This window comes from Homo sapiens, chromosome 1, assembly GCF_000001405.40.
Source record: "Homo sapiens chromosome 1, GRCh38.p14 Primary Assembly".
Classification (NCBI taxonomy): Eukaryota; Metazoa; Chordata; class Mammalia; order Primates; family Hominidae; genus Homo; species Homo sapiens.
In genome coordinates, this window is record NC_000001.11 from 112,808,136 (window position 1) to 112,825,199 (window position 17,064).

At 47.5% G+C, this 17,064-nt stretch overlaps 1 long non-coding RNA gene across 1 annotated transcript in view, besides 5 other annotated features; it reads right to left on the reverse strand.

Annotated features, from left to right (window-relative positions):
• Nucleotides 1,018–1,539: an enhancer, noted in NCBI's record as "NANOG-H3K27ac-H3K4me1 hESC enhancer chr1:113351775-113352296 (GRCh37/hg19 assembly coordinates)". NCBI's record gives its function as "activates a minimal SCP1, AML or CMV promoter by ChIP-STARR-seq in naive H9 embryonic stem cells {active_cell/tissue: H9 hESC(naive)}" and the evidence as "EXISTENCE:reporter gene assay evidence [ECO:0000049][PMID:30033119]".
• Nucleotides 1,255–1,534: an enhancer, noted in NCBI's record as "active region_1520". NCBI's record gives its function as "activates an Ori minimal core promoter by ATAC-STARR-seq in GM12878 lymphoblastoid cells {active_cell/tissue: GM12878}" and the evidence as "EXISTENCE:reporter gene assay evidence [ECO:0000049][PMID:35858748]".
• Nucleotides 9,320–10,051: an enhancer, noted in NCBI's record as "OCT4-NANOG-H3K27ac hESC enhancer chr1:113360077-113360808 (GRCh37/hg19 assembly coordinates)". NCBI's record gives its function as "activates a minimal SCP1, AML or CMV promoter by ChIP-STARR-seq in primed H9 embryonic stem cells {active_cell/tissue: H9 hESC(primed)}" and the evidence as "EXISTENCE:reporter gene assay evidence [ECO:0000049][PMID:30033119]".
• Nucleotides 10,052–10,781: an enhancer, noted in NCBI's record as "OCT4-NANOG-H3K27ac-H3K4me1 hESC enhancer chr1:113360809-113361538 (GRCh37/hg19 assembly coordinates)". NCBI's record gives its function as "activates a minimal SCP1, AML or CMV promoter by ChIP-STARR-seq in primed H9 embryonic stem cells {active_cell/tissue: H9 hESC(primed)}" and the evidence as "EXISTENCE:reporter gene assay evidence [ECO:0000049][PMID:30033119]".
• LINC01356 (long intergenic non-protein coding RNA 1356) overlaps nucleotides 12,034–17,064 on the reverse strand; it is a 30,475-nt gene continuing 25,444 nt past the window's right edge. Inside the window, exons 6-7 of the long non-coding RNA NR_103746.1 lie at nucleotides 15,518–15,619; nucleotides 12,034–12,406 (exon numbers count right to left, since the gene is read on the reverse strand). This is a non-coding gene — a long non-coding RNA (long intergenic non-protein coding RNA 1356). The remainder of the gene's footprint in view (nucleotides 12,407–15,517; nucleotides 15,620–17,064) is intronic.
• Nucleotides 12,976–13,705: an enhancer, noted in NCBI's record as "OCT4-NANOG-H3K27ac-H3K4me1 hESC enhancer chr1:113363733-113364462 (GRCh37/hg19 assembly coordinates)". NCBI's record gives its function as "activates a minimal SCP1, AML or CMV promoter by ChIP-STARR-seq in naive H9 embryonic stem cells {active_cell/tissue: H9 hESC(naive)}" and the evidence as "EXISTENCE:reporter gene assay evidence [ECO:0000049][PMID:30033119]".

A 17,064-nucleotide genomic window follows, 5' to 3' on the forward strand; every position in this document is an offset into this window, starting at 1 on the left:
ATGTCACTTCCAAAATTAGGTTCTAAAAGACACCATGGCTTCTATTTTGGTTTCTCTTGCCTGCTGTCTCTTGGCATATTCGCTCTGGGGCAAGCCAGCTGCTATGTTCCTAGCAGCCTACCGGGAGGGCCCAGTGGCAAGAAATTAAGTCTGCCAAGGACAGCTGTGTGAGTGATCTTGGAAGTGAATCCTTCCCAGCCTTCAGATGACTGCAGTCCTGACCAACATCTTTTTGTTTGTTTGTTTGTTTGTTTGTTTGTTTGTTTGTTTGTTTTGAGATGGAGTTTCGCTGTTGTTGCCCAGGCTGGAGTGCAATGGCGTGATCTCGGCTCACTGCAAACTCTGCCTCCTGGGTTCAAGTGATTCTCCTGCCTCAGCCTCCCGAGTAGCTGGGATTACAGGCATGCACCACCACGCCTGACTAATTTTGTATTTTTAGTAGAGACGGGGTTTCTCCATGTTGGTCAGGCTGGTCTTGAACTCCCAACCTCAGGTGATCCGCCCGCCTCAGACTCCAAAGTGCTGGGATTACAGGTGTGAGCCACCACGCCCGGCCCTGACCAACATCTTGACTGAAACTCACGAGACACTGAGCCACAACCTTCCAACTAAGCTGTTCCTGGATTTCTGACCCTAGGAAACTGTGTGAGGTAATAGATGTTTGCTATTTTAAGTCAAGACATTTTGGGGATAATTTGATACATAAGATTAAATAATTAATACATAATTATTTGATATGCATAGAATATTGAACTTTAAAATATGAGTGGGGGTCTAGGGTGTGGTGGCTTAACACCTGTAATCCCAGCACTTTGGGAGGCCGAGGTGAGAAGATTGCTTGAGGCTAGGAACTTGAGACCAGCCTGGGCAACATAGCGAGACTCTAACTCTACAAAAAAAATTTAAAAATTTTAAGATATTAGCCTGGCATGCTGGTGCACACCTGTAGTCCCAGCTACTCAGGAGACTGAAGTGGAGGATTGCTTGAGCCCAGGAGTTCCAGGCTACAGAGAGCTATGATTGTACCACTGTATTCCAGCCTGGGTCACAGAGAGACTATGTCTCAATCAATCAATCAATAATGAAAACAGTGAGAGGTAAAAGAAAAAAGAGAATCTAGGTTTGAGGGAGGCCAGCTGGAAGTAATATGAGTGGTGCCCTGACATGCAGGGAGTGGGCAGCCTGGAGGAGGGATGAGTGGGTGCCCAAAGGGAGCCGGGATCCTGCCAAGAGACTGCAGGGCCTCTCTGCCCACACGAGGGCGCCCCACATTGCCGTATCTGGGCTAGGGGATGGGAAATGAAGACCAAGAAAAGGCCTTCTGGGGAGGGAATGTCCTGTGTGCCCACACACTGGCCCCTCTCTCCAGGTTTCTTGAAGGTCAGCGTGAGGTCCCTCTGGCAACTGGAGACAGAGCCGGTTTTCAAGCCCTGAGAATGCATGCCTCTGCAAGTCAAGGCTGTCTCCTCTGCAGGGTAGCATGTGTTATGGTTGATTGTGAGTGGTGGCAGTGAGGGTGTGAGTGGGTAACTGTCAGGCCTCTGAGCCCAAGCTAAGCCATCATATCCCCTGTGACCTGCACTTACACTTCCAGATGGCCAGTTCCTGCCTTAACTGATCACATTCCACCACAAAAGAAGTGAAAATGGCCTGTTCCTGCCTTTGCTGATGACATTACCTTGTGAAATTCCTTCTCCTGGCTCATCCTGGCTCAAAAGCTCCCCTGCTGAGCACCTTGTGACCCCCCCGCCCCTGCCCACCAGAGAACAACCCCCTTTGACTGTAATTTTCCTTTACCTACCCAAATCCTATAAAACAGCCCCACCCCTATCTCCCTTCGCTGACTCTCCTTTCGGACTCAGCCCACCTGCACCCAGGTGAAATAAACAGCCTTGTTGCTCACACAAATCCTGTTTGGTGGTCTCTTCACACGGACGTGAGTGAAATTTTGGTGCCGTGACTCGGATTGGGGGACCTCCCTTGGGAGATCAATCCCCTGTCCTCCTGCTCTTTGCTCCGTGAGAAAGATCCACCTACGACCTCGGGTCCTCAGACCGATCAACCCAAGGAACATCTCACCAATTTTAAATTGGGTAAGCGGCCTCTCTTTACTCTCTTCTCCAACCTCTCACTGTCCCTCAATCTCTTTCTCCTTTCAATCTTGGCGCCACCCTTCAATCTCTCCCTTCTCTTAATTTCAATTCCTTTCATTTTCTGATAGAGACAAAGGAGACACATTTTATCTGTGGACCCAAAACTCTGGCGCCGGTCACGGACTCGGGAAGGCAGCCTTCCCTTGGTGTTTAATCACTGCAGGGACACCTCTCTGATTATTCACCCACATTTCACTGGTGTCTGATCACCGTGGGGACGCCTGCCTTGGTCATTCACCCACATTCCCTTGGTGGCAAGTCAGTTGCGGGGACTCCTGCTTTGGCTGCTCCCCCATGTTGCAGCCCAGGGCTGCTCCCCACCTCCCTTCTCTGTGTCTTTACCCTTCTCTTTAAACTTACCTCCTTCACCATGGGCAACCTTCCGCCCTCCATTCCCCCTTCTTCTCCCTTAGCCTGTGTTCTCAAGAACTTAAAACCTCTTCAACTCTCGCCTGACCTAAAACTTAAACGCCTTATTTTCTTCTGCAACACTGCTTGGCCCCAATACAAACTCGAAAATGGTTCTAAATGTCCAGAAAATGGCACTTTTGATTTCTCCATCCTACGAGACCTAGATAATTTTTGTCAAAAAATGGGCAAATGGTCTGAAGTGCCTGACGTCCAGGCATTCTTTTACACATTGTTCTCTCCCTAGTCTCTGTTCCCAATGCGACTCATCCGAAATCCTCCTTCTTTCCCTCTCGCCTGTGCTCTCAGTCCCAACTCCAAGCGTCGCCGAGTCTTTCTTTCTTTTCTACAGACCCATCTGACCTCTCCCCTCCTCCCCAGGCTGCTCCTCACCAGGCTGAGCTAGGTCCCAATTCTTCTTTAGCCTCTGCTCCCCCACCCTATAATCCTTTTATCACCTCCCCTCCTCACACCCGGTCCGGCTTACAGTTTCGTTCCTCGACTAGACCTCCCCCACCTGCCCAGCAATTTCCTCATAAAAAGTTGGCTGGAGCTAAAGGCATAGTCAAGGTTAATAATGCTCCTTTTTCTTTATCCGATCTATCCCAAATCAGTTAGCGTTTAGGCTCTTTTTCATCGAATATAAAAACCCAGCTCAGTTCATGGCTCGCTTGGCAGCAACCCTGAGATGCTTTACAGCCCTAGACCCTGAAAGGTCAAAAGGCCGTCTTATTCTCAAAATACATTTTATTACCCAATCCACTCCCGGCATTAAATAAAACTCCAAAAATTAAATTCCAGCCCTCAAACCCCACGACAGGACTTAATTAACCTCGCCTTCAAGGTGTGTAATAATAGAGTAAAGGCAGCTAAGTAGCAATGTATTTCTGAGTTGCAATTCCTTGCCTCCACTGTGAGACAAACCCCAGCCACATCTCCAGCACACAAGAACTCCAAACGCCCGAACGGCAGCTGCCAGGGGTTCCTCCAGAACCTCCTCCCCCAGGAGCTTGCTACAAGTGCCGGAAATCTGGCCACTCGGCCAAGGAAAGCCCACAGCCCGGAATTCCTCCTAAGCTGTGTCCCATCTGTGCGGGACCCCACTGGAAATTGGACTGTCCAACTTGCCCGGCAGCCACTCCCAGAGCCCCTGGAACTCTGGCCCAAGGCTCTCTGACTCCTTCCCAGATCTTCTCGGCTTAGCGGCTGAAGACTGACGCTGACCGATCACCTCAGAAGCCTACAGGATGATCACAGAAGCTTTAGGTAACTCTCATAGTGGAGGATGGACTTAAGAAGTCCGTCCCCTTCTTAATCAATACGGAGGCTACCCACTCCATATTACCTTCTTTTCAAGGGCCTGTTTCCCTTGACTCCATAACTGTTGTGGGTATTGAATGCCAGGCTTCTAAACATCTTAAAACTCCCCAACTCTGGTGCCAACTTAGACAATATTATTTTAAGCACTTCTTTTTAGTTATCCTCACCTGCCCAGTTCCCTTATTAGGTTGAGACATTTTAACTAAATTACCTGCTTCCCTGACTATTCCTGGGCTACAGCCACACCTCATTGCCGCCTTTTCCCCCAGTTCAAAGCCTCCTTCACATCCTCCCCTTGTATCTCCCCACCTCAATCCATAGGTATAAGACACCTTTACTCCCTCCTTGGTGACCGATTACGCACCCCTTACCATCCCATTAAAACCTAATCACCCTTACCCCACTCAATGCCAATATCCGATCCCACAGCCCACTTTAAAAAGATTAAAGCCTGTTATCACTTGCCTGTTACGGCACGGCCTTTTAAACTCTCCTTACAATTACCCCATTTTACCTGTCCAAAAACTGGACAAGTCTTACAGGTTAGTTCAGGGTCTACGCCTTATCAACCAAATTGTTTTGCCTATCCACCCCGTGGTGCCAAACCCATATACTCTCCTATCCTCAATACCTCCCTCCACAACCCATTATTCTGTTCCAGATCTCAAACATGCTTTCTTTACTATTCCTTTGCACCCTTCATCCCAGCCTCTCTTTGCTTTCACTTGGACTGACCCTGACACCCATCAGACTCAGCAAATTACCTGGGCTGTACTGCCTCAAGGCTTCACAGAGAGCACCCCCCCCCCATTACTTCAGTCAAGCCCAAATTTCTTCCCCATCTGTTACCTATCTCGGCATAATTCTCACAAAAACACATGTGTTCTCCCTGCTGATCGTGTCCGACTAATCTCCCAAATCTCAATCCCTTCTACAAAACAACTCCTTTCCTTGCTAGGCATGGTTAGTGCAGTCAGAATTCTTACACAAGAGCCGGGACCGTGCCCTGTAGCTTTCTGTCCAAACAACTTGACCTTACTGTTTTACCCTAGCCCTCATGTCTGCGTGCAGCGGCTGCCACTGCTTTAATACTTTTAGAGGCCGTAAAAATCACATACTATGCTCAATTCACTCTCTACAGTTCTCATAACTTCCAAAATCTATTTTCTTCCTCACACCTGATGGGTATACTTTCTGCTCCCTGGCTTCTTCAGCTGTACTCACTCTTTGTTGAGTCTCCCACAATTACCATTGTTCCTGGCCCGGACTTAATCTGGCTTCCCACATTATTCCTGATATTACGCCTGACCCCCATGACTGTATCACTCTGATCCACCTGACATTCACCCCATTTCCCCATATTTCCTTCTTTCCTGTTCCTCACCCTGATCACGCTTGGTTTATTGATGGCAGTTCCACCAGGCCTAATCGCCACTCACCAGCAAAGGCAGGCTATGCTGTAGTACAAGCCGCTAGCCCGCCTCTCAGAACCTCTCATTTCCTTTCCATCATGGAAATCTATCCTCAAGGAAATCACTTCTCAGTGTTCCAGCTGCTATTCTACTACTCCTCAGGGATTATTCAGGACCCCCGCCCCTGCCCCCCGCTTCCCTACACATCAAGCTTGGGGATTTGCCCTCTCCCAGGACTGGCAAATTGACTTTACTCACATGCTCCGAGTCAGGAAACTAAAATACCTCTTGGTCTGGGTAGACACTTTCACTGGATGGGTAGAGGCCTTTCCCACAGGGTCTGAGAAGGTCACCACAGTCATTTCTTCTCTTCTGTCAGACATAATTCCTCGGTTTAGCCTTCCCACCTCTATACAGTCTGATAATGGACAGGCCTTTATTAGTCAAATCACCCAAGCAGTTTCTCAGGCTCTTGGTATTCAGTGAACTGATGGTCTTTTTAAAACACATCTCACAAAGCTCAGCTACAAACTTAAAAAGGACTTGACAATACTTTTACCACTTTCCCTTCTCAGAATTCGGGCCTGTCCTCGGAATGCTACAAGTTACAGCCCATTTGAGCTTCTGTAATAGACTCTCGTTTTATTAGGCCCCAGTCTCATTCCAGACACCAGACCAACTTGAACTGCGCCCCAAAAAACTTGTCATCCCTACTGTCTTCTGTCTAGTCATACTCCTATTCACCATTATCAACTACTCATAAATGCCCTGCTCTTGTTTACAGTGCCTGTTTACACTGTTTCTCCAAGCCATCACAGCTGATATCTCCTGGTGCTATCCCCAAAGCGCCACTCTTTTTTTTTTTTTTGAGATAGAGTCTCGCTCTGTCACCCAGGCTGGAGTGCAGTGGCGCGATCTCAGCTCACTGCAAGCTCTGCCTCCCGGGTTCATGCCATTCTCCTGCCTCAGCCTCCCGAGTAGCTGGGACTACAGGCACATGCCACCACGCCCGGCTAATTTTTTGTATTTTTAGTAGAGATGGGGTTTCACTGCATTAGCCAGGATGGTCTCGATCTCCTGACCTCGTGATCCGCCTGCCTCAGCCTCCCAAAGTGCTGGGATTACAGGCCACTCCCACTTAAAGTAAATAAATAATCTTTGCTGGCAGGGCTATGCTAAACCTCCTTGGGCACTCTCTAATTGGATGTCCTGGGTCCTCCCAATTCTTAGCCCTTTAATACCGGTTTTTCTCCTTCTCTTATTCGGACCTTGTGTCTTCCATTTAGTTTTTCAATTCATACAAAACCACATCCAGGCCATCACCAATCATTCTATATGACAATGTTTCTTCTCACAACCCCACAATATCACCCCTTACCACAAAATCTTCCTTCAGCTTAATCTCTCCCACTCTAGGTTCCCACGCCACCCCCACTCCCGCTCAAAGCAGCCCTGAGAAACATCGACGATTATCTCTCCATACCACGCCCACCAAAATTTTTGCTGCCCCAACACTTCAACACTATTTTATGTTATTTTTCTTATTAATATAAGAAGACAGGAATGTCAGGCCTCTGAGCCCAGGCTAAGCCATCATATCCCCTATGACCTGCACGTACACATCCAGATGGCCGGTTCCTGCCTTAACTGATGACATTCCACCACAAAAGAAGTGAAAATGGCCAGTCCCTGCCTTAACTGATGACATTACCTTGTGACCCCCCACTCCTGCACACCAGAGAACAACCCCCTTTGACTGTAATTTTCCTTTACCTACCCAAATTCTATAAAATAGCCCCACCCCTATCTCCCTTCGCTGACTCTCTTTTTGGACTCAGCCCGCCTGCACCCAGGTGAAATAAACAGCCTTGTTGCTCACACAAAGCCTGTTTGGTGGACGCAAGTGAAAGTAACCAGGTGCCTGGGGAGTCTCTCTCCATTGCGCATGATGGGCTTCCCCATGGCTTCCTTCTCGGGAGAGGAGAAAAGTCCAGGGTGCAGAGAAATTGTCAGTAGCCTTTCCCTTCTCCCCTCCTCACCTTCACTTTTGCAGCTGCAGAGCTTAATCATTATTGAGGAATTCAATTGCAGTCAGGCCTTAAGGTTGATGGGAGGTGTCGGGGCTCACAACATAATACACCAAAGTATGGTGCTGTGGCATGCGTAGACTTCTGAGAAATGCTTCATTAGGCGATTTTGTCATCGTGCAAACATCACAGTGTATTTAACACAAATCTAGACAGCATAGCCCACTATACATCTAGGCTATATGGTATGGCTTATTGCACCTAGGCTACAAACATGTACAGTATGTTACTATGTTGAATACTGTAGGTAACTCTAACACAATGATAAATATGTGTGTATCCAAACATACCTAAACATAGGAAAAGTACAGTCAAAATATGGTATTATAGGCCAGGCGCGGTGGCTCACGCCTGTAATCCTAACACTTTGGAAGGCCGAGGTGGGCAGATCACGAGGTCAGGAGATCGAGACCATCCTGGCTAACACGGTGAAACCCCATCTCCACTAAAAATACAAAAAAATTAGCCGCTTGTGGTGGCAGGTGCTTGTAGTCCCAGCTACTTGGGAGGCTGAGTCAGGAGAATGGCGTGAACCCGGGAGGCAGAGTTTGCAGTGAGCCGAGATTGAGCCACTGTACTTCAGCCTGGGCAACAGAGTGAGAATCCATCTCAAAAAAAAAAAACGGTAATATAAACTGTTGTTTGAGACAGAGTCTCACTCTTTGTTGCCCAGGTTGGAGTGCAATCAATGGCGTGATCTCGGCTCACTGCAACCTCCACCTCCCGGGTTCAAGCAATTCTCCTGCCTCAGCCTCCCTAGTAGCTGAGACTACAGGCACGTGCCACCACGCCTGGCTAATTTTTTTTTCTTTTTCTTTTTCTTTTTTAGGCGGAGTTTCGGTCCTGTTGCCCAGGCTGGAGTACAATGGCGCAATTTCAGCTCACAGCAGTGATTCTCCTCCCTCAGCCTCGCGAGAAGCTGGGATTACAGGCATGTGCCACTACGCCCAACTAATTTTGTATTTTTAGTAGAGACGGGGTCTCTCCATGTTGGTCAGGCTGGTCTCGGAACTCCTGAACTCAGGTGATCCGCCTGCCTCAGCCTCCCAAAGTGCTGAGATTACAGGTGTGAGCCACCGTGCCCGGGCTAATTTTTTGTATTTTTAGTAGAGACAAGGTTTAACCATGTTGGCCAGGGTGGTCTCAAACTCCTGATCTCAGGTGATCCACCCGCCTTGGCCTCCCAAAGTGCTGGGATTACAGGCATGAGCCACCTCGCCCAGCCAAGTGAGGCTCATTTTTAACCTTTTGATGATTATACTTGAAGGGGTGGCCTGCCCCTCCACACCTGTGGGTATTTTTAGTCGGGTGGGATGAGAGACTGAGAAAAGAAATAAGACACAGAGACAAAGTATAGAGAAACAATAGTGGGCCCAGGGGACTGGCGTTCAGCACACCAAGGACCTGCATCGGCACCGGCCTCTGAGTTCCCTCAGTTTTTATTATTATTTTCATTATTTTAGCAAAAAGGAATGTAGTAGGAGAGCAGGGTGATAATAAGGAGAAGGTCAACAAAAAACATGTGAGCAAAAGAATCTATATCATAATTAAGTTCAAGGGAAGGTACTATGCCTGGACGTGCACGTAGGCCAGATTTATGTTTCTCTCCACCCAAACATCTCAGTGGAGTAAAGAATAACAAGGCAGCATTACTGCAAACATGTCTCACCTCCCGCCATAGGGCGGTTTTTCTCCTATCTCAGAATTGAACAAATGTACAATCGGGTTTTACACCAAGACATTTAGTTCCCAGGGGCAGGCAGGAGACAGTGGCCTTCCTCTATCTCAGCTGCAAGAGGCTTTCCTCTTTTACTAATCCACCTCAGCACAGACCCTTTATGGGTGTCAGGCTGGGGGACAGTCAGGTCTTTCTCATCCCACGAGGCCATATTTCAGACTATCACATGGGGAGAAACCTTGGACAATACCCCGCTTTCAAGGGCAGAGGTCCCTGCGGCTTTCCACAGTGCATTGTGCCCCTGGTTTATTGAGACTAGAGAATGGCAATGACCTTTATCAAGTATATTGCTTGTAAACATTTTGTTAACAAGGCATGTCCTGCACAGCCCTAGATCCCTTAAACCTTGATTTTATACAACACATGTTTTTGTGAGCTCCAAGTTCGGTCAAAGTGGTTGGGTCAAAGTGGCAGGGGCAAAGCTACAAATTAACAACATCTCAGCAAAGCAATTGTTTAAAGTACAGGTCTTTTTCAAAATGGAGTCTCTTATGTCTTTCCTTTCTACATAGACACAGTGACAGTCTGATCTTTCTTTCTTTTCCCTACAATACTGTGATAGTAGCATTGATGGTTTGGAAGTGGCAAATGAGAAGTGAGGCTGGGAGGCTTTTCGAAGGAGATTTCAGGAATTCTGATGAGGCCCTGTGAGGGCCTGACCCACAGCTATAGCAAGGAAAAAGGCAAGGTGGGGGTGTTGATGGGGAGACACTGAAGCAGGGCGACCTACAGGGATTGGTACTTGAGAACTATGCAGGAGGAATGGGGTGGGGCCGGTGTGGGGGTGGAGGGAGTGCAGGAACCCCCTGAAGCTCCTGGCTCAGAAATCTACCCCCTGCAAGCCCAGGTCTTCCCAGCTGTGCTCCTCGTTAGCATTTGAGAAGCTGGACAATGCTTAAAATTCACCTTCTAGGGCTGGGTCTACAGTTGTTACCAAATGTCTCCATAGCTTCCAGTGTGAATCGCATTCAGAATTACAATCAGATAGAAAGGCACTCAGGCCCTTCTCATTTAAAACAAACAAAAGCATGAGGGATAGGAGGGCACAGAGAATAAAAAACAGCAAGAGAAAAACGCCCTAGGGCAAACTTCATCTTTTTTTTTTTTTTTTTTGAGTTGGAGTCTCGGCTCTATCGCTCAGGCTGGAGTGCAGTGGTGCAATCTTGGCTCAATACAACCTCTGCCTCCCAAGTTCAAGCGATTCCCCTGTCTCAGCCTCTCGAGTAGCTGAGATTACAGGAGCACGCCACCATGCCCAGCTAATTTTATTTTTTTATTTTTTATTTTTTTTGCATTTTAGTAAAGATGGGGTTTCACCATGTTGCCCAGGCTGGTCTCGAACTCCTGAGCTCAGGCAATCCACCTGCCTCAGCCTCCCAAAGTGCTAGGATTATAAGCATGAGTCACCGTGCCCGGCTGAACTTTCTCATATTATGTATATACATATAGTCGGGCCGGGCGCGGTGGCTCACGCCTGTAATCCCAGCACTTTGGGAGGTCGAGGCGGGTGGATCACAAGGTCAGGAGCACAAGACCAGCATGGCCAACATGGTGAAACCCTGTCTCTACTAAAAGTACAAAAAAATTAACCAGGCGTGGTGGCACATGCTTGTAATCCCAGCTACTCGGGAGGCTGAGGCAGAATTGCTTGAACCCGGGAGGCGGAGGTTGCAGTGAGCCGAGATTGTGCCACTACACTCCAGCCTGGGTGACAGAGCGAGACTCCATCTCAAAAAAAAAAACACAAAAAATGATGTATATACATATAGTCAGTGCACCAGAATATGAATGAATGCTGGTCATATTTACAGTGTATGAAGCCCTTTTACATACAATTTATCATCTAATCCACACAAACCTTGGGGAAGTGGATATAAATAAAAACAATGACTCTTTTGTGTGGGTGGAAGGAGTGTAGGAGCTGGATAAAGCTTCTGGCTTGGAAAACCACCCCCTGCACATCCAAGTCTTCCCCTGTTGTGCTTATCTTGTGCTTATCATGTGACGTAATCCTAACTTCTTCATGACTTATGGCCACTTCCTCCTGGGACCCAGCTGGAGTGAGCAAGTGAGTAAAATGCAAGCTCTTTTAATTCTTGAGACAGCAAAGCATATTAAGGAAGGAAATACACAAGTGAGAAAAATCACATTGTGAATTTCAAAGCCGAGGGACAAAACTGCAGAACTGCGGGAGCCAGTGATAGGTTTGGCCATTATTTACCCTCAGGATCACCCAGGACTCAGCCTCTTCTGTTTCCTGAACTTCCATCCAGTACAGCCTTCAGCTGTAGCCACTAAGCTGTAATGCAATTGCTTTACAAGACACTGTCTGGCACTGTCTTTTCTGACAGTGGGGAAGATGCCCTGGCAGGATGACGGCTCAGCTAAGGAGTCAGGGTTATGGGTATTTTCTTACTTTTTATCTTGGAATTTCAGATTTTAAAAAAAAGTTTGATAGTATAGAGAGTTCCTGTATACTTTTCACCCAGCTTCCTCTGCAGTTAATCTTTTTTTTTTTTTTTTTTTTTTTTTTGAGACGGAGTCTCACTCAGTCGCCCAGGCTGCAGTGCAGTGCTGCGATCTCGGCTCACCGCAAGCTCCGCCTCCCGGGTTCACACCATTCTCCTGCCTCAGCCTCCCGAGTAGCTGGGACTACAGGTGCCCACCACCACGCCCAGCTAATTTTTTTTCGTATTTTTAGTAGAGACAGGGTTTCACTGTGTTAGCCAGGATGGTCTTGATCTCCTGACCTCGTGATCCGCCCATCTCGGCCTCCCAAAGTGCTGGGATTACAGGCATGAGCCACCGCCCCCGGCCTCCTCTGCTGTTAATCTTATATAAACGTGGTACATTTGTCAATTTACCATTGGTACAATACTAAATTTCACTCGCCGTGTGAAGAGACCACCAAACAGGTTCTGTGTGAGCAACAAGGCTGTTTATTTCACCTGGGTGCAGGTGGGCTGAGTCCAAAAAGAGTCAGTGAATGGAGATAGGGGTGGGGCCGTTTTATAGGATTTGGGTAGGTAGTGGGAAATTACAGTCAAAGGGGATTGTTCTCTGTTAGGCAGGAGTGGGGGTCACAAGGTGCTCAGTGGGGGAGCTTTTGAGCCAGGATGAGCCAGGAGAAGGAATTTCACAAGGTAATGTCATCAGTTAAGGCAGGCACGCGCCATTTTCACTTCTTTTGTGATTCTTCAGTTACTTCAGGCCATCTGGATGCATACATGCAGGTCACAGGGGATATGATGGCTTAGCTTGGGCTCAGAGACCTGATATTCCTGTCTTCTTATATTAATAAGAAAAATAAAACAAAATAGTGGTAAAGTGTTGGGATGGTAAAAATTTTTCGGGGGGTGGTATGGAAAGATAATGGATGATGTTTCTCAGGGTTGCTTCTAGCGGGATTAGGGGTGGCATGGGAACCTAGAGTGGGAGAGATTAAGCTGAAGGAAGATTTTGTGGTAAGGGGTGATATTGTGGGGTTGTGAGAAGAAACAGTTGTCATATAGAATGATTGGTGATGGCCTGGATACAGTTTTGTTATGAATTGAGAAACTAAACAGAAGACACAAGGTCCAAATAAGAGAAGGAGAAAAACAGGTATTAAATGACTAAGAATTGGGAGGACCTAGGACATCCAATTAGAGAGTGCTCAAGGGGGTTCAGCATAGCCCTGCCAGCAAAGATTATTTATTTACTTTAAGAGTTAAGAGTGGCGGTTTGGGGATAGCACCAGGAGATATCAGCTGTGATGGCTTGGAGAAACAGTGTAAACCGGCAGTGTAAAGAAGAGCAGGGCATTTATGAGTAGTTGATAATGGTGAATAGGAGTATGACTAGACAGAAGACAGTAGGGATGACAAGTTTTTGGGGTGCAGTCCAAGTTGGTCTGATGTCTGGAATGAGACTGGGGCCTAATAAAAGGAGCATCTATACAGGAGCTCAAATGGGCTGTACCCTGTAACATTTTGAGGACAAGCCCGAATTCTGAGAAGGGAAAGTGGTAAAAGTATCCAGTCCTTTTTAAGTTGGTGGCTGAGCTTGGTGAAGTGTGTTTTAAAAAGACCGTTAGTTCACTGAACACCAAGAGCCTGAGAAACTGCTTGGGTGATTTGACTAATAAAGGCCTGTCCGTTATCGGACTGTATAGAGGTGGAAAAGCCAAACGAGGAATTATGTCTGACAGAAGGGAAGAAATGACCACAGTGGCTTTCTCATACCCTGTGGGAAAGGCCTCCACCCATCCAGTGAAAGTGTCTACCCAGACCAAGAGGTATTTTAGTTTCCTGACTCGGGGCATATGAGTAAAGTCAATTTGCCAGTTCTGGACGGGGGCCCGAGCTTCATGTGTAGGGAAGGGAGGGGGCCTGAACAATCCCTGAGGAGTAGTAGAATAGCAGCTGGAACACTGAGAAGTGATTTCCTTGAAGATAGATTTCCACAATGGAAAGGAAATGAGAGGTTCTAAGGGGTGGGCTAGTGGCTTGTAACCTACATGGAAGAGGTTATGAAATGATGACAGAATAGAATGGGCCTGTGAGGCTGGAAGGAGATATTTCCCTTGGTCTGAGAACCATTTGCCTTGTGTGGGAAGAGATTGACAGGTGGAAGTTTTAGTGGGGGAGTAGGTGGGAGTGGCCAGATGAGAAGGAGAAAAACTGCCCTGAGGGATAGAAGTTGGAACACTAGCTGTTTTTTTAGCTACCTTATCAGCATAAGAATTGTCCTCAGTGAGGGGATCTGATGCCTTTTGATGGCCCTTGCAGTGAATGACTCCAGCTTCCTTTGGAAGTAGAGCAGCTTTGAGAAGAGTTTTTATTAAAGAGGCATTAATGATGGAGGACCCTTGTGTAGTGAGGAAATTTCTTTCAACCCATATAACAGCATGGTGGTGCAGTATATGGAAGGCATATTTAGAGTCAGTATAAATATTGACGCGTAGTCCTTTTGCAAGAGTGAGGGCTCGAGTTAAGGTAATGAGTTTGGCTTGCTGAGAGGTAGTGGGGTGGGGGCAGAAAGTATATGCATCAGGTGTGAGGAAGAAAATCGATTTTGGAAGTTATGAGAACTGTAGAGAGTGAATTGAGCATAGTTTGTGATTTTTAGGGCCTCTAAAAGTATTAAAGCAGTGGCAGCCGCTGCATGCAGACACGATGGCCAGCCTAAAACAGTAAGGTCAAGTTGTCTGGACAGAAAGGCTACAGGGCACGGTCTGGCTCTTGTGTAAGAATTTCAACCACACAGCCCTGCACTTCGGTTGTGTGTAATGAAAAGGGAGTGATGAGTTAGGGAGAGCTAGTGTGGGAGCTGTTTTTTAAGGAATGGAAAGGAAAGTAGGGAAAGGATATAGGATCTATGGGGTCAGCTAGGTTTATCTAGAACAGAATAATGGGTTGTAGAGGGAGGTATTGAGGATAGGAGAGTATATGGGTTTGGCACCACGGGGTGGATAGGCAAAACAATTTGGTTTTGGTTGATAAGACTCAGATCCTGAACTAAACTGTAAGGCTTGTCCAGTTTTAGGACAGGTAAAATGGGGAAATTGTAAGGAGAGTTTACAGGCTTTAAAAGGCCGTGCTGTAACAGGTGAGTGATAACAGGCTTTAATCCTTTTAACACGTGCTGTGGGATGGGATATTGGCATTGAGTGGGGTAAGGGTGATTAGGTTTCAATGGGATGGTAAGGGGTGCATGATCAGTTGCCAAGGAGGGAGTAGAGGTGTCCCATACCTGTGGATTGAGGTGGGGAGATACAAGGGGAGGATGTGAAGGAGGCTTTGAACTGGGGAAAAGGGCAGCAATGAGGTGTGGCTGTGGCCTAGGAATAGTCAGGGAAGCAGATAATTTAGTTAAAATGTCTCGACCTAATAAGGGAGCTGGGCAGGTGAGGATAACTAAAAAGGAGTGCATAAAAGAATATTGTCCAAGTTGGCACCAGAGTTGGGGAGTTTTAAGAGGTTTAGAAACCTGGCCATCGGCCGGGCACGGTGGCTCATGCCTGTAATCCCAGCACTTTGGGAGGCCGAGGCGGGTGGATCACGAGGTCAGGAGATTGAGACCATCCTGGCTAACACGGTGAAACCCCGTCTCTACTAAAAATATAAAAAATTAGCTGGGCGTAGTGGCGGGGGCCTGTAGTCCCAGCTACTCGGGAGGCTGAGGCAGGAGAATGGCGTGAACCCCGGAGGTGGAGCTTGCAGCGAGCCGAGATTGCACCACTGCATTCCAGCCTGGGCGACAGAGCCAGACTCCATCTCAAAAAAAAAAAAAAAAAAAAAAAAGAAACCTGGCCATCAATACCCACAACAGTTATGGAGTCAAGGGAAACAGGCCCTTGAAAGAAGGTAATGTGGAGTTGGGTAGCCTCTGTATTGATTAAGAAGAGGACGGACTTACCCTCCACTGTAAGAGTTATCCAAAGCTGGGCATCTGTGATGGTCCAGGGGGCTTCCAAAGTCATCTGGCAGCATCAGTCTTCAGCCGCTAAGCTGAGAAGATCTGGGAAGGAGTAAGAGAGCCTTGAGCCAGAGTTCCAGGGGCTCTGAGAGTGGCTGCCAGGTAAATTGAACAGTCCAATTTTCAGTGGGATCCTGCACAGATGGGACATGGCTTAGGAGGAATCCCAGGCTGCAGGAATTCCTTGGCCCAGTGGCCAGATTTCTAGCACTCATAGCAAGCTCCTGGGGAAGGAGGTTCTGGATGAACCCCTGGCAGCTGCGGTTCATCCAGAACCTCATCCAGGTGTTTGGATTTCTTGTGTGCTGGAGATGTGGCTGGGGTTTGTCTCACAGTGGAGGCAAAGAATTGCAACTCAGAAATACATTGCTACTTGGCTGCCTCTACTCTATTATTGTACACCTTGAAGGCAAGGTTAACTAAGTCCTGTTGTGGGGCTTGAGGGCCAGAATTTAATTTTTGGAGCTTTATTTAATGTCGGGAGCAGATTGGGTGATAAAATAAAATGCATATTGAGAATAAGATGGCCTTCTGACTTTTCAGGGTCTAGGGCTGTAAAGCATCTCAGGGTTGCTGCCAAACGGGCCACGAACTAGGCTGGGTTTTTATATTTGATGAAAAAGAGCCTAAACATTAACTGATTTGGGAGAGATCGGATAAAGAAAAAGGAGGATTAACCTTCACTATGCCTTTAGCTACAGCCACCTTTTTAAGAGGAAATTGCTGGGCAGGTTGGGGAGGGCTAGTCACAGAACGAAACTGGAAACTGTAAGCCAGACCAGGTGTAAGGAGGGGAGGTGATAAAAGGATTATAGGGTGGGGGACCGGAGGCTGAGGAAAAATTGGGACCTAGCTCGGCCTGGTGAGGAGCAGCCTGGGGAGGAGGGGAGAGGTCAGATGGGTCTGTAGAAAAGGAAGATTGGAAAGACTCAGCGATGCTTGGGGTTGGGACTGAGGGGACAAGGCGGGAGGGAAAGAAGCAAGATTTGGGACAAGTTGCATTGAGAACAGAGACTAGGGAGGGACCGATATGTAAAAGAATGCCTGGACGTCAGGCACCTCAGACCATTTGCCCATTTTACAACAAGAATTATTTAGATCTTGTAGGATGGAAAAATCAAAAGTGCCATTTGCTGGCTATTTGGAACCACTGTGGAGTTTGTACTGGGGTCAAGTGGCATGGCAGAAGAAAATAATGCATTTAGGTTTTAGGTCAGGTGTGAGTTGAAGAGGTTTTAAGTTCTTGAGAACACAGGCTAAGGGAGAAGAAGGAGGAATGGAGGGTGGAAGGTTGCCTATAGTGAAGGAGGCAAGTCCAGAGAAAAGACAGGGTAGAGACATGGAGAGAAGGGGTGGGGGGGTGCTTGCCCCCCAGGAAAGTGGAGAGAAGAGAGGGTAGAGACATGGCGGGAAGGGGTTGGGTGAGCAGCCCTGGGCTGCAATGTGGGTGAGCAGCCAAAGCAGGCATCCCTGCAATTGACTTGCCA